A 17,224-nucleotide genomic window follows, 5' to 3' on the forward strand; every position below is an offset into this window, starting at 1 on the left:
AGCAGCCTTCAAAAACATGTTTTCCTCCTTTCAAAAGAAGCAAATTGTAATGAGCTCGTTCACACTAAGGATCTCAGGCCAGGCTATGTTTCTCCGCGAGTATGCAGAGGGTAAACTTCCACAAGGGAACAGTGGCCAATTGATACATTGCTTTCTTTATCCTAGTACCCAGAGCATTCTTTCCCACATATGGTGACTTACATCTTGTCTACAAAATGGTCTCCATTCCAGCATAGTCTTTTTTGAAATCAAAAATATTTCAAGTTGCCAGCCTGGGCAACATGGTGAAACACTAACTCTACAAAAAAGATTTTTTAAAAAATTAGCCAGGTATTATGGCATGCTCCTGTGGTCCCAGCTACTCAGGAGGCTGAGGAAGGAGGATTGGTTGAGCCTAGGAAGTTGAGCCATGTCCATGCCACCATACTCCAGCCTGTGCAACACAGCAAGACACTACCTCAAAAACAAAACAAAACAAAGCAAAACAAAAAACTCCAATATACTGTGTGTTAGATTAGGGAATTATTGATTTGTTAGATAGGATGATGATGTTATGGTTCTGAAAGGAAATGTCCTTATGTTTTGGAGACACACAGTGAAGCATTTAGGGATGAAATGTAATGATATTTGTAATTTGCTTTAAAATATGTTAGTAAAATTTTTTAATAGATAAAGTAAATATGGTAAAATGTTAACAGTGGATATAGCCAAGAAATGGGTTAAGTGTCCATTAAACTGTTCTCTCTATAGTGCTGCGTGATGAAACATTTTCGTAACAAAAGATCAAAAACTGCAAGATGGAGCTTCCCTGAAAGCTGCCTGGTTTCCTCATCAGAGCACCTTCCCCCTCTTCTGGCACCCGCAGCCACCTGTAGCCAGGCCTCTCCATTTAAGTTCTGAAGCTTTGAGGGGCTTTCTCTATGTGCCAAGCACCATTCTAAGCACTTTTTATTAATTACATCATTTGCTCTTCACCAAAGCCCTATGCAATAGCTAATGTAGCAACTATTATCCCCATTTCGCTGAGGTGTAAACTGAGACCCAGAGGTGTGAATGTACCCAAGATCACTCAGCTAGTAAGTGTCACAACCAGAATTGCAACCAGGTCATTCGTTACTACGTTAAACCACCCCAGCCCATTCGTCATCTGAGGTCACAGTGCTTCTCTCATAAAGATGTTTGAAGGTGTTGGCCACACTTTACCACCCTACATGATATTGATTACATTCTAGCAGTGCTCTTTCTACATGAGATAAAGGTGGGTTCCTGTTTTTGCTTCCCCTTTTTTGTATTTCTCTCAGAAACAAAGTCAGTGTCTGCTTCTTCACAGATTATTGATTGCTTTGCTATCTAGTGAGATGGGTCAAGGTCTAGGCTGATAGCAATCCTCGAAGCCTTCACCTTTGGCTGAAGATTCCTCTGTCTCTGTTATTCAAGTATGAGTGGTATAGTCCTCACTCAGCAGGTGATAATCCTCCTCAGAGGTGTCCTGAACCCATATCTGATGCCCACCTTGGTTTGTTCCTGCCTGACTGAATCATTACTAGAAACAACAATGAATAATGTGGTGCATGTTTGTATGTGGACTCAAGGAACCTGGCTGAAACCAGCACATCTATCTATCTATCTATCTATCTATCTATCTATCTATCTATCTTCATCTATCTGTCCATCTGTCTGTCTGTCTGTCCATCTGTCTGTCCATCTGTCTATTTCTATATCTGTCAGTCATCTTATCTATCTCTATCTCTATCTCTCTATCTCTTTCTATTGCTCTATCAATCATCTATCTATTGCTATCTTTCTGTATCTATGTTTATCTATCTATCCATTTATCTATCTTTCAATATCTACCTACCCACCTACCTACCTACTGACATGTGTGTAATTTTGATGGTTAGAAGCCAAGAAAAAGCCAGCATCTTTTATTGTGAACGAGTTTATCTAGAGATATAGATTTTTGGAATTCATCTCTACTACCTTATATTAGAAATATACACTTCAGTGGGCCTTTTGGTTGAGCAAAGGTACAGCAAAGATCCAGTTCCAGAATGGGAAGCTTTGAGCTCACTTGATCAAATTGTGGTGCATAATCACATAAAAGGTTGTTCAGGATGGGCACACTCAGTTCTTACTTTTCTACAAATGGGTTTAGATTATACAGTCTCTGAAAATTATGTTCAGCTCTTGGTTGGTATATATTTTTTCCATTTATTTTTCAAGTGCTAGCTCACAGGAGAGGGAGAGCAGAGACTGGGGGGATGGAGGAAGCCCATCATCACTTTAGGCAGGCAAGACTCCCCAGAAAAGACCAGACAAGGGTTGCCAGAGCCCTTTCTGACCATTCTACAAAAGTCCCACAAGGAGCGTTCTCCAAGACTGAATAGCCCAGTTCATTGTGGCCTGAAGGCTGTTCCAAGGGAGGCCGAGGCTCAGGTTGGGCTCTGCAGGTAGCAGGCCAGCCCCCATGGGAGAGCATATTTGCTCTCACTGTACCCCACCTTGGGAAAAGTTCTGTCCTGAACTCAGATGTGGGCACCTAGGCCATGGGTCTTGCGTGGAAGGAGGTAGGCCACTCATTTCCCGGGTCTTGAGGAGTTCAGTTCTGACTCTGGCCAGGAGAGGCATGCTCAAGGATTCTACCAGAGAGGTGAGATGGCTCCGGGAACTCGGCCATAGGTAGGGGCTTAGGAAAGATTTCTAAGGAGGAAATGTCTGTGGAGCTTTATGGCTACTGAAAGAGGGTAAAGCATCATGTGGGCCGGTCTGAGGATCATGTAGGTAGGCACTTCCTGGGCTTCCCAGGGAGCTGCCCTGGCTGAAACACCATTCTTCTTTGGCCACACAACTCGTCTACAGCATTCTGTGTGACCTCACAACCTGAGCAGTCTTGGGAATTTGATGGCACGAGCATGCATATCTAGCCATTCTAAATTCAGTGCTCAGTAGGCCTGGGATGGGGCTTTTTAAACCGCGAGTAGCCTTCAAGTAGTTTAAAAAGCATATTTCTATTGTTTTTCCTTAAGTGCTTCAAATCACTGGTAATCAGAGAAATGCAAATTAAAACAACAACAGATAGGCTTTTTCTTCTATCAGGCTTGCAAAAGCTTCAAAGAATTATAGCTAGTGTTTACACAGGTTGAGTTACTCTTTTTTCCTACCTCAAGTCCTGAACAATACCAGGAAGGAGAAATAGTTCATAGTTACCATTGTCTTTTACATAATAATGTCATCAGCTTCAATGAAGAGAAACATTAACAGGGCTGTGAGCACTTTGGAATGGAAAATCATCCTATGTATATATTTATTAATTAATGCATTCATTCAGGAAATATTTACCGAACATCTAAGCAGCACAGAGAATGAAGAAGGAAAATAAAAGCGCGTCAAATGCTGAGTATGTGTGGGGCACTGAGCCAGACTGTTGGATGAATTATTCTGTGAGTTGGGTTATAAGATCCCCTTTTCACAGATAAAGGGAGGGTAAGTCATTTGCCAAAGGTCACCCAGCTAATGAAAAGTTTGCTGGAGGCTCGGTGAGATGGAACATCCAGGATGTTCCCAGTGCTTCTGGAACTTGCCAGCTGTAGAGGAGACTGAGCAAGCACAGGTAACCCTGACACAGACACTGGGAGCCCAGAACCCTGAGAGATTCAGGCAATGCACACTCCAAAGAGCTAAACAAGAGGGGATTATTCTGGTGCAAGCAGGGCTGTGCTAAAAAGACATCTCTCAGAGAAACATGTGAACAAAACCTTCTGGGATGGGCCACATTATTAAACAGAGGGCAGGGAAGCAAGAGGAGCAGAACGTTCTAGAGGAAGAGGCCTGCTTGGGCAAATCACTAAAGAAGTGTCCAAAGCACACTCAGGAAAAACTGCAGGTGAGGAAACCAATAAACAAACACACCCAACCTCGATCTTCACAGCCCTGCAAAAATTCTCGTGAAACCAAACTGGTTTGACGTTCACAAAGAAGATACACAAAAGACACCTGAGATGGAAGCGCAGCCAACATCCTGTGAATTTCTCCCCAAGACTTGAGCATTTGAGTCATTGGTTGGGAAAGGAGTTTAGGACTAAAGATACAGATTGTAGAATCATTGGCTTTCAGGCAGTTGGGGAAGTTTTGAAGAAGGGAGACTGTGCCGAGTCCAGGGAAGATGGGTAGGACCCTGAATGCTAGTTCCCAAGCATGGCCACGGAACTGGGTTAAGGTAGAGGCATGGAGGAGAAGCTCATTATGTAAAACTGGCTTTTTTTAAAATTATTATTATACTTTAAGTTTTAGGGTACATGTGCACAATATGCAGGTTTGTTACATATGTATACATGTGCCATGTTGGTGTGCTGCACCCATTAACTCATCATTTAACAGGTATATCACCTAATGCTATCCCTCCCCCTCCCCCCACCCCACAACAGCCCCCGGTGTGTGATGTTCCCCTTCCTGTGTCCAAGTGTTCTCATTGTTCAATTCCCACCTATGAGTGAGAACATGCGGTGTTTGGTTTTTTGTCCTTGCGATACTTTGCTGAGAATGATGGTTTCCAGCTTCATCCATGTCCCTACAAAGGACATGAACTCATCATTTTTTATGGCTGCATAGTATTCCATGGTGTATATGTGCCACATTTTCTTAATCCAGTCTATCGTTGTTGGACATTTGGGTTGGTTCCAAGTCTTTGCTATTGTGAATAGTGCCGCAATAAACATACGTGTGCATGTGTCTTTATAGCAGCACGATTTATAATCCTTTGGGTATATACCCAGTAATGGGATGGCTGGCTTTTTTTTTTCTCACCTGCAGCGCATGGCACCCTGCCTTCCAGAGACAAGGTTCCCAACAACTGTGCTGAATGAATGGAGGAAAAATGAACCCAAACCAGGAATACAAATCCTTGTGTGTGAACATAAACCTACTTCCAAAATTCTTGAGGAATCCCTAACTCAAGTCCCCCAAGTCCTGTTTGGTTGTGCACAGAAAGAGATATTACAAGAGGAGCCGTGGGAACCTGAAAAAATGAATGGGGAGTGGCAGTCCCTTCTTATTAATGTGATCAAGACCAATAAATGTATATTGTAATTGTAAATTCTTTCTGGACTCCACATTTCTCCAAAACCTAAGGATGTCTCCAATTATCTCGAGAAAGAAACGTCATAAGATTCTCAAGACTAAAGTAATGTTAATTGATATTCATGCCATGGGAATGGAGAGCGTGCGCTTACTAAGCAGCATCTTGAGGGAAGGCACCATACAAAATCAAACAACCGTTCAGGAATAGTAAATAGCTTCTATTACTGTTGTTTAGGCCACTCAGTCTTGTTATGGCAGCCCTAGTACAAGAATACAATGTACAGCAGTATTAATCATTAGTTGCTGTTGTTGTTTTCAAACAAAAGAGAAGAATAACTTTCTTTTTTGTCGTTTTTTTTGTTTTGTTTTGAGACAGAGTCTCGCTCTGTTTGCCAGGCTGGAGTGCAGTGGCAGGATCTTGGCTCACTGCAACCTCTGCCTCCCTGATTCAAGCAATTCTCCTGCCTCAGCCTCCCAAGTAGCTGGGACTATAGGCGCCTGCCATCGCGCCCAGCTCGTTTTTGTATTTTTAGTAGAGACAGGGCTTCGCCATGTTGGCCAGGCTGGTCTCAAACTCCTGACCTCAGGTGATCCACCTGCCTCGGCCTCCCAAAGTGCTGGGATTACAGGCGTGAGCCACACGCCTGGCCAAGAAGAATAACTTTGAAGTTTAGATATACAATTCAAAATTAGAAAAAATGTTCATGTATGAACTAAAATTTACACTTATGAAACAAAAATATTATACCTCACTATTCACATCCTGTTTTCCTGTTTTAACCTTTAAACACAAAGGAAAACTCCAAGTTGTCAGATAGAACTGGGGTAAATGTTTTGCATAAAGGACCAGACAAGGGTATCCTTTATCTGAAATGTTTTGGACCGGAAGTGTTTTGGATTTTGAATTTTTGGGGATTTTTGGAATATTTGCAATCTATACTGGTTCACCATTCCTAATCTAAAAATCTAAAATTCAAAATGCTCCAATGAGCATTTCTTTTGAGCACCATGTCAGCACTTAAAAAGTTTTGAATTTTGGAGCACTTCAGATTTTGGATTTTCAAATTAGGGGTACTCAACCTGTAATAAATATTTTGGCTTTGCAGGCCATATGATCTCTTGTAAATACTCAATTTTGCTGTTGTAGCAATGTATGAACAAATGGGTATGGCTATGTTCTAATAAAACTTTATTATAGACACTAAATAATAATAATAATAGCTCCTATTGATTAAGTGCTTGCCATGTTCTGAGCAGAGCTAACTGCTTTAACATTTGGTTAAGTGCTGGGCCAAGAGCTCAGAATATGATTAGGAAAATGACACAACCTCTACCTCCTTACTTCCTGTACACTTTCTTGTGTAATCCTCATAACCAACCTATCACTAACCCTATTTTGTAGTTGAGGAGACTAAAGTTATGTAGCCACTCAACATCAGGCATCTAATAAGTGGCAAAAAAAAAAGGATTTGAACTCAGTGTGTCTGATTTTAGAACCTGTTTCCATAACCCCCACACTCTAGGGCTTGGAATTCTATTGACAGCAAAAGCATCTTCCAGTCTCACAGGACTGTGGGGCTGTGGTGCAGTCCTGAAAGGAGCATGCATGTGAGGAACACCACGCGAGAGGCCCATGAAAGGACAGGACAGCCTGGAGTCCCGGGGGAAGCTGCTCCCCAGCACCTGGCATTATGGCCGGTGTCATGGTCCCATGTTGGGTTTGCAAAGGACTCAGAGCCTTGAGCCAAGCGGCAGGAAGCAATTTCAGTCTTTGGCCCAGACCACCAGGCCTCGAAACCTTTCTATCTAATTAAACTTCCATTGCCTTTCATTTCTGCAGCCCTCCTTACAGGAATACTCTCTTTAAAATAAATAAATAAAAGATATGGGAACTGATGGAGTCAACTAAGAATTTCTCTAATTTCCACATCTAACTCCTATGAATAACTCACTTGGAAATGGGCGTGGTCTGTCTAGGCATGATTGTGTTTTGCATAAACTCTTATGCATGAAGTGGCTCTATTTGCAACTAGACAGGATCCAAATTTCAGAAACACTTTAACAACCGACTATAAAGTTTATTAAAAAATAAAAAATAGAAAAGTCATTTCACCTTTTGCCCGCAGTAAAACTCTGGGAATGGACTCTCCTGGCCTCAAAGCTTTCTTTTCTTCTCTGCAGAAGCTGCTGAAGACACCCTCCACAGGCTTAGCCTACCCAGGTTACGGCACCCTGCCTGCTGCACTCAGGGAACTCAAGGTGTTGCCTGTTCAACGTTTGAGCAGAACCAGAGTCATGGCTTACGCTAGCTGTGACTTTGTACCCCAGTTCTGGTCTCTGAGTCCCTGCCTGGGGTATCCATGCAGTACCCAGGCCTGCTGCTTCCTTGTGGGCTAACCTGGGGAGGCTGGCTGCCTGCCACCATCATGCTGCCATGCTCAGAACCTGCTCAGGCTCGTCTCTGGAAAGCTCCTTCACAGCCATTGCCCATCTCCTTTTTTTGTTTGTTTTTTTTCTTGAGACGGAATCTTGCTCTGTCCACCCAGGCTGGAGTGCAATGGCACAATCTTGGCTCACTGCAATCTCCACTTCCCGGATTCAAGCGATTCTCCTGCCTCAGCCTCCTGAGTAGCTGGGATTACAGGCACCTGCCACCACACCCAGCTAATTTTTGTATTTTTTAGTAAAGATGGGGTTTCACGATGTTGGTCAGGCTGGTCTCGAGCTCCTGACCTCAGGTGATCCACCTGCCTCGGCCTCCCAAAGTGCTGGGATTACAGGCGTGAGCCACTGTGCCCTGCTCCCTTTCTCCTTTTACTCAGCTTGTCCCAAACTTCAAGGTACAGAAGAATCACCTGGGGATCTTGTTAAACTGTGGGGTCTGGCTTGGTAGGCCTGGGATGGGGGCTTGAGAATCAGTGTTTCTAACAAAGCACCAGGGTAGGTTTGGGAAATAGTTCGAGTCTATGCAGCGTCAAGGATGATGGCCAAGCAGGTGAGGTAGCCACTGGCCACTACTATTTTTGCCTGCCCAGAACATGTGCTTTTTCCCTATTTTTTTAAGCCCAATAATGGGCACATAGCTCAGTTTGCACCAATCAGAGTCCTGCCCAGAAATGAGGTATGAATGGTGGTGGGAGTGGGGAAGAAGGGGTAAGTGGGAGCAGGCTCTCTTTTCCCTGGGGTTACTAACCTGGGAGGGTTGCTTGTAGCGCATGCAGGAAGTCCATTGTCAGTGATCAAGAATGAGTTGAACCTACAGAGAGAAGTGAAAAGGGTGGAGATGCAAGGACATCATTTGAGCTCCTGCATCCAGTCACACCTGAGGCCAGATGCTCCAGCCTTCCAGTTATACGAGCCCATAAATTTGCTTTTTCACTTAATTTAATTCTTGTCACTTGTAAATAAAAGAGCCCTGAGTTATATAGTGGGTAAGGCAAGTTGGGGTCAAAAAACAAGGTATAGAGTGATAATGGTTCACATGATGATTCTAAAAGTAATTCCTGGCCGGGTGCAGTGGCTCACGCCTGTAATCCCAGCACTTTGGGAGGCCGAGGTGGGCGGATCACTTAAAGTCAGGAGTTGGAGACCAGCCTGGGCGACATGGTAAAACCCTGTCTCTACTAAAAATACAAAAAAATTAGCCAGGCGTGTTGGCGGGCACCTGTAGTCACAGCTACTCAGGAGGCTGAGGCAGGAGAATGGCGTGAGCCCGGGAGGCAGAGCTTGCAGTAAGCCAAGATCATGCCACTGCACTCCAGCCTGGGGGACAGAGCAAGACTCCATCTCAAAACAAACAAAAAAGAACATGATTAAGTATGGAGTCCTAAGGGCCTGACCTCCAAGTGCCACAAAAAGCGAACTTGAGCTCCTTCATCAGGCGATGTTTGCTCATGCCTTTTCCTGATGATACTGAAAAAGTTCGCAGAAGCTCCACATGTCCAACTGCTTTTTCCTGGACGTTTAGTTATACAGGTAAAGCTGAAAGTAAACAGCAGATTTGGACTCAAAATCAGCTCCATAAATGGCCTCATTTCCAGGCACAGCCCTTGATGTCATCTCTGAAAGGTCGTCGTCCCAGCCCTGGAGGGATTTACTGAGGCCCCAGGATCTGAGCTCATGTCCAGATCTGTGAAAAGCAAAGGACATGCATGCAAAATAGATTGAGGCCGCATACGCCCAAGTCGCTGGGGAAGGGACAGGCATGTGGTGAGCAAAGAGGGAAGAGGAGGTTTCCTGCTTCTCTCTGTGACTTCCCTATTTCAGATAACAGCAGCCCCACCCTGCTGGGCACTCAGGTTCAAAATGTCAGAGCCTTGGGACTCTTCTTTCTCCTTTTCATATTCCTCTGCGCTGCATGCAGGAGAGTGATTCTATCCCAGGGCCAACTCTGACAGCCACCTCCTTCTCTCCATTCTCTCTGTTGCTGCTTTTTTCAGGCCTTCATTATTTCCCACCCGAACCACAGTGGCAATGGCCTTGTAGCTATTCTCCTCAAATATATTTTTCATACTTCACCAGGTCCAGTGAAATGTTTTGAGGACTTACTATTGACTCACTCAACCCTGGGGCAGATTGTATTTTCCAAAGATGCCACATATCCCATTTTACATGTTCTCACAATATGACTGACATTCTTGCCATCAAGAGGTGAAGTCCACGTTCCCTCCCCTTGAACTTGGAAGGGCTTGAGACCCAGCAGAAGTGATGCTATGTGACTTCTTCCAAGACTAGGACCTAAAAAGTGGTACTGTTTTTGCCTGGTTTTCTTGGGAAACTTGCCTTCAGGCCATCAGTTGCCATGTAAGTACGAAACCGCCATACTGTATGGAAGCCCAAGCCACATGGAGGTGCCATGTGTGGGTGTTCCTAGTGTGAGGTCCTAACTGACAGCTGGGAATGTGCATGAACGTATCTCTAAATGATTTCTTCCCCCAGTGGGCTGGTCACCGCCACCCGCCCTCCGCCCCCTGTCACTTTTCAGTTCTCCCAGTCGAGGCCATAGACATCATGGAGCTGTGCTTTCCTGACCTACAGAATCTGTCAGCATAATAAAATGGTTGTTTCTGTTTTCTCTGGGTGCAGTGACTCACACCCATAATTTCAGCACTTTAGGAGGCCAAGGCAGGAGGATCGCTTGGACTCAGGAGTTTGAGACCAGCCTGGGCAACATAGTGAGATCCCTGTCTCTGTAAAAAAGCCAAAAAAAAAAAAAATTAGCTGGGCATGGTGGTGCATGCTTGTAGTTCTAGCTACTCAGGAGGCTGAGGTAGGAGAATTGCTTGGGTCCAGGAGGTTGAGGCTACCACGAGCCAGTGAGCCACAATCACAACACTGCACTCCAGCCTCGGCAACAGACTGAGATCCTGTTTCTTAAAAAAAAAAAAAAAAAAAAAAAAAAAAGAAGATTATTTTAAGTTCCTAATTTTGGGGGAAATTTGTTACATAGCCAATAGCCAATAGATAACCGATATTTTATTTTAAAATGCCTTAATGTGTACACAAACCCTCTGTCAATCATCTGGTTACAAATAGCTCCTGCAGGGAGCTATTTACAAAAGAGGTGAGGTTTCCACAGCTATGAGACCCTGAAGAGAGGAGCTGATCCGAGGGTAAGCCAGGCATTTCTATGCATTTTTTTTGTCTTTACTATGTGCCAGGCACGTTACAGACCTTATCACATCCAAATCTTCAACATGATGGCTATGAGGTTAATTATCTTCCTTAATAGTTATAGAAATTGAAGCTCAGAGGGGAAACATAAATTTCCCCAAAGTGGCCAAACAGGAATCCAAACCTGGGGCCTGATGACGCCGGAGCCCTCGCAGCGCCTACCGCGCCTCTGGAAGAGCCGAACCCAAGAAAGAGAGCACAGAGGAGCACTCAGCATCACTTTGCTGCTCTTACCTTTCCCAGCACATGACTGAAATCACTCCTCTATTTGGAATGAAGGAAAAACAAAGCAGTCTGGTCTGGCTAGAGAAAGCCCCCGGCCACAATGTCGAACAAACCGGGAGTAATTTGTCTCTGTTCTTTTCCATGTGACTGCCGGAGGTTATCCTGGTTTTTATTAGTCCAAACTTCCCTTTTCAAAAAATAATTCCTTGAAATCTTCTGGGAAATTAACATGGCTCAATCTGGCTCTGGGCTGGCCACCACATGCTCACAGAATTAGGAGAACCTGAGATTTTAACCCTTCGTAGCCACACACACATACACACAAAACCACATGTGCCTCTATAGCTGTGTTGTTTAACAGGCTGTAAAGAGAATATTCACACTGGGTGAGCGGTTAGGTTCAGCTTTATCCTGGAAAAAATTTCATCTCTTAGATTTGTTCCAATCCAAGAGTTTTACACGGTGTGCAGATTGAGTTACACATCAGTGCACAGCACAGGAATCCTTTATTTAAGAAATATCAGGAACTAATTAATATACAAGGTTAGGTAATTTAAATAACAATTATTTTCAAATATTTTTTAAAGAAAATATATTAAGAATAAGTAATATAAAATTACAGAGCCGGGCAGGAGGGTTCACCTGGTGTAATCCCAGGGCTTTGGGAGGCTGAGGTGGGAGGATTACTTAAGACCAGGAGTTTCTGACCAGCTTGGGAAACATAGTAAGACCCAGTCTCCAAAATAATAAAATAAAATAACTACAATAGCAACTTTAAATTCCAATTCTATTCTGTACTATAGTCAATTACATAAAAAATGTTCTTCATTTTTCTCTTATAATTTTTTTTTTGAGATAAGGTCTCATTCTGTCACCCAGCCTAGAGTACAGTGGCACAGTCATAGCTCACTGCAACCTCAAACTCCTAGACTCAAGCAATCCTCCTGCTTCAGTCCCAGGTAGCTAGAATTACAGGTGTGCATCACCATGTCCAGCTAATTTTTAAATTTTTTGTAGAGATGGGGTCTCACTATGTTGCCCAGACTTGTCTTGAACTCCTGGCCTCAAGCAAACCTCCTGCCTCGCCCTCCCAAAGCGCTGGTATTACAGATGTGAGTCACTGTACCTGGCCCATTTTTCTTTACTTTTATTTTCTATCTAATTGGGAACTTTTGAGATTATTTACAGTGTCATAAGAATTATAAAAAGGTGGCCAGTTGCAGTGGCTCACGCCTGTAATCCCAGCACTTTGGGAGGCTGAGGTGGGCAGAACCCCTGAGCCAAGGAGTTCAAGGCCAGCCTTGGCAACCTGGCAAAACTCTGTTTCTACTAAAAGTACAAAACTTAGCCAGGTGTGGTGGTGCATGCCTGTACTCCCAGCTACTTAGGAGGCTGAGGCAGGAGAATCACTTGAACCTAGGAGGCAGAGGTTGCAGTGAGCCAAGATCGCACAACTGCATTCCAACCTGGGCAACAGAGTGAGATCCCGTGTCAAAAAAAAAAAGAATTATTATCGTTACTGGCCAAGTGTGGTGGCTTACACCTGTATTCCTAGCACTTTGGAAGGCTGAGGCGGCCGGATCACGAGGTCAGAAGATTGAGACCATCCTGGCTAACATGGTGAAACCCTGTCTCTACTAAAAATACAAAAACAAAATTAGCCGGGAGTGGTGGCGGGCACCCACAGTCCCAGCTACTTGGGAGGCTGAAGCGGGAGAATGGCGTGAACCCAGGAGGCGGAGCTTGCAGTGAGCCGAGATTGTGCCACTGCACTCCAGCCTGGGCGACAGAGCGAGACTCCATCTCAAAAAAAAAAAAAAAAAAGGTAACAAAATTTAGGCAGCTAATTTCTTGTTCTTTCAGTATTTCCACATATGTTTCTGGCAATTAAAACATCTTTTTCTGCCAGGGTCAGTGGCTCACATCTGTAATCCCAGCATTTTGGGAGGCTGAGGCAAGAGGGTCACTTTAGCCCAGGAGTTCAACACTAGCCTGGGCAATATAGGGAGATTCCATCTCTACAAAAATAAAAATAAATTAGCAGGGCATGGTGGCACATGCCTGTAGTTCCAGCTACTCAGGAGGCTGGGGCAGGAGGATCATTTGAGCCCAGGAGTTCAGGGGTGCAGTGAGCCCGTGATTGCACCACTGCACTCCAGCCTCTGTGTCAGAGCAAGACCTTGTCTCAAAAAAGAAAAAAAAAATTGTTTTTCTCTGGGAAGTTTGGTGGAGTGGAACAGGGGAGAGAACAAGCCCCCTATCCCTCCACGTCCTCTCCTCCAGCATCGTTCTTACAATGAAGGATGGTCTTTGCAGCTGATATCTTCTTATACTCCCCTGTTCCTTTCCTGGGCAGATGTCCTGGCGATACGGCCAAGGACATCCCTCTGGGAGCTGAGAGTGGAAGTGGGAGCCCTTTATTTTTGCCCAGCGCCGGCATCAAGGCTGTCCTCAGAACTACCTGAAACATAACAGTGCACAATTCACTGGAGGAGGAAGAGTGTGGAGAGCCTCAAAAAGAAGACAGGATCCTGGGGAAGCCAGTGCAGGGACGTCACGCTCTGTCTCACACGCCTTGACTGCAAAGACATAGCACTGATAGGTAAGAAACAAATCAAAAGCAAAATAACTGGGCTCAACATAATTACCTCTGTTATCAAAACAAAAAGTGGTGAAACTAGCATCCTATAGGAAGGGACAGCCTAAAATTTGCATCCTGCAGAGCAGGGGAATTACTAGTGCTCCATATGACAGGGGAAGTGGAATAATTTTCATTGCAGGCAGGGACTCGGATGGGTGATGAAAGAAATCGAAAAAGTAAGCTGCTGACACAATAGCATCTGGGGCTTCAGCTTTGTACGCTGTGGAAAGGAAGCGTTTGTGACAAAGAACCTAAATCAAATGTCGTGTCTGTGGATATGATAGCCCTAATGTTGCTAGGGTAGGTATGTTGGCTAATTTCATGTGTCAACTTGACTGGGCTAAGGGATGCCCAGGTAGCCGGTAACCCATCATTTCAAGGTCTGTCTGTGAGGGTATTTCTGGAAGAGATTAGCACAGGAGTCAGTAGACTGAGTGAGAAGATCTCCCTTACCCATGGGGTGGGCACCATCCCATCCAGTGAAGGCCCAAATAGAACAAAAAGGCAGACGAAGGTGATGGATTGGCTCACACTCTTTGAGCTGGGTCATCCGTTTTCTCTTGCTCTCAAACATCAGAGGTCCTGGTTCTCAAGCCTTTGCACTTTGCACTGAAAGAAAATGACACCACCAGCTTTCCTGGTTCTCCAGTTTGCAGGCAACAGATCACGGGACTCCTTGGCCTTCATAACTGCAGGAGCCAATTCCCACAACAAATCCATGTGAATCTCGTAAGTATCTTACAGGTTCTTTTTCCCTGGAGAACCCTGCCTAATATGGGAGGAGAGCCGTGTAACAGTGGACACGATTCAGGATTAGAGACCTGGATGCAACAACTCAAAGCAGCTGTGAAATCACCGGGAAGGAGAGGGAAATGGGGGGAGTAGGTGAGGTGGAGAGAGAGAAAACAAACACAAACCTCCCACTCACAATCAGAGCACAAACCCAATCCCGAAACATAAAGAAATCTAATGAGAATGAAGTTAAGACCCTGAATGTGAATTGGTTTCTGATTAAATCAATTTTATGGAACAGCCTAGAAAAGATTTTTTTTTAAAAAAAGAATGTTTATAATGCACAAAGATATAAATGAAATAATATCTTTCATTTTAAGACACCAAGAAAATGTGGAGAGGGAAAAAATAAAAGAACGGTTATATATGAATAAGAAACAACTAGAAGGCTTGAAATATAAAAATAGATTCCTTTAAAAATTCAGTATAGGGTCAGGTGAGGTGGCTCACACCTGTAATCCCAGCACTTCGGGAGGCTGAGGTGGGTGGATCACCTGAGGTCAGGAGTTCGAGACCCCTTGACCAACATGGTGAAACCCGTCTCTACTAAAAATACAAAATTAGCCAGGTGTGGTGGTGCAAGCCTGTAATCCCAGCTACTCGGGAGGCTGAGGCTGGAGAATTGCTTAAACTGGGAGGTGGAGGTTGCAGTGAGCCAAGATTGCGCCATTGCATTCCAGCCTGGGCAACAAGAGCAAAACTCCATCTCAAAAAAAAAAAAAAATCAGTATATGAGATCAAGCTAGACTTGACACAATCAAATAAAGAATATGTTAATTAGAAGAGAATACTGAAGAATTCTTGTGGAACACAGCATAGGGAAACAACAAGAAAAAATGAGGCCCAGCACGATGGCTAATGCTTGCAATCCCAGTACTTTGGGAGGCTGAGCCCAGGGTTCAAGACCAGCCTGGGCAACATAGCAAGACTTTGTCTCTTTAAAAAAGAAAAAGAAAAAGAAAATTTAACTATATGTCTGTGTGTTTGTATACATATACATATATCTGATATTGAATATATATACATATACATATACACATACAAGCAGTTAAGAAATACAGAGACTAAATTAAGAAATTCATAGATTCATTTAAAAGAATTCCAAAAATAAGTGAATGTTGGGAATGACAGAGAAGTAATATTTGTAAATGCTAATAATTAATGATTTTCCATAATTGAAGAAAGACATGAAATTCTAGAGAAAGGTGTTCTCAGCTCTCTAGTATAAATCCACAGCTGGATTCATCATAGTGAAACTATATACAACTACACAGGTAAAGAAAAAATCTTATAAGCTATAAGAGAGAAGTGATGAATTATTTGCAATGAAATAACAATTAGGTATTTGACAAACTTTATATCATCCTCAGTGGAAGTCAAAAGAGAATGGAATAATAGCTTCAAAATGCTGAGGAGAAATAACCATCAACCTGGAATTTTATACGGAGTTAAACTAACATTTAACAGTGAGAGTGATATAAAAATGTTCACAGATATGCAAAGATTAAGGTTGCTTCCACCCAAACAGACTCTCACTGTAAGATGTCCTTTAGCAAGGTGGGGGGAAAAAACAATTAAACCCAAAGAGAAATTGTGGTATGGAAGGGGAAAAAAATGATGAGTATGAAAGTTGATAGAATATCAATTATAATTAACTATGGAGAGTACAAATACAAATACAATATAACTTTTATTTCAAAAGCAAAGCTAAAGCTGTTTACACTCATAGCAAAAAGGAGGTAGGTGTGATTATGATCAATGGGTGTTTGAAGAATTCCAAACCAATGAGGGACAAAGGTGAAATGGGGAGTCTTCAGGCAGGGATGATCGGGAGAGGAGAATCAATGTCCCAAAAAGAATCAGAAGGGGAAAAAGTAGCCAAACAGATACTTGAAGAAAAACATTGGAAATGATAAGTCACAATATATCACACATATGAAACCTAATTAAATTCAACAAAAAGCAAAGATTATCAGATTAGAATTTTACAGCTATATATAAAAGATTCAATCTGTCAGGAAGATGTAATAATTCTAAATTTGTACATAGCTTATAACATAGACCAAAAATATATGAAGCAAAAACTGACTTAACCAAAGGAGAAACAGTCAAATCCAAAATCACAGGGAGAGATATTATATTAACACACCTCTCTCAGTAGCTAATAAAGAAGACCTAAATACTTGGTAATAATATAAAAAAATTGAAAAATATGATTCACACACTTGCACTGATTCACACATTTAGAACACTGTACTTGAGAACTAAATAATAGTCATTCTTTTCAAGTACACCTGTACCCTTTATAATACTGACCACACAGCAAGTCTTAGCAACTTTGAAAATATCAAAATCATATAGAGTATATTATCCTACTACAGCAAAATTAAACTAGAAATCAATCACATAAAAGCTAGAAAATCCCTACATATATTTGGAAATTAAGTAATACACTGCTATATTATTTAAGAGTCAAAGAAGAAATCACAACAAAAATGAGAAAGTATTTAGAAATTATGATAAATATTACATACCAAAACTTAGGGAAGTCTGCTAAAGTGATGCTTAAAGGAAAAATTTTAGTTTTAAATGCATATGATTAGAAAAGAAGAAAGACTGAAAATCAGTGTTTCAAGCATCTGTCTCAAGAAGTTGGTGGGGTGGAAATGGCAAATTAAACAAAAGAAAGTAAAATGAACAAAATGAAAATATAAAACTAGAAGTTAATAAAATAGAAAGCAAACATATTAATATAAGAGAGAATCAGCAAAGCCAAATGCTGGTTATTGGAAAAGGCTAATGAAATTAATAAATCCA

At 42.7% G+C, this 17,224-nt stretch overlaps 1 long non-coding RNA gene across 3 annotated transcripts in view; it reads right to left on the reverse strand.

The window, feature by feature from the left end:
• Positions 1-17,224, reverse strand: part of LOC105373262 (uncharacterized) — a 94,430-nt gene that overhangs the window by 14,634 nt on the left and 62,572 nt on the right. For 2 of the 3 annotated variants that reach the window (XR_007066983.1, XR_949343.3), the window contains exon 2: positions 8,270-8,332. This is a non-coding gene — a long non-coding RNA (uncharacterized LOC105373262). Of the gene's footprint in view, positions 1-8,269; positions 8,333-8,915; positions 9,219-17,224 lie in introns of those variants that run through there. The other variant, XR_949344.3, reaches the window with a different exon arrangement.

The sequence above is a fragment of the Homo sapiens genome, chromosome 1 (assembly GCF_000001405.40).
Source record: "Homo sapiens chromosome 1, GRCh38.p14 Primary Assembly".
Lineage (NCBI taxonomy): Eukaryota > Metazoa > Chordata > Mammalia > Primates > Hominidae > Homo > Homo sapiens.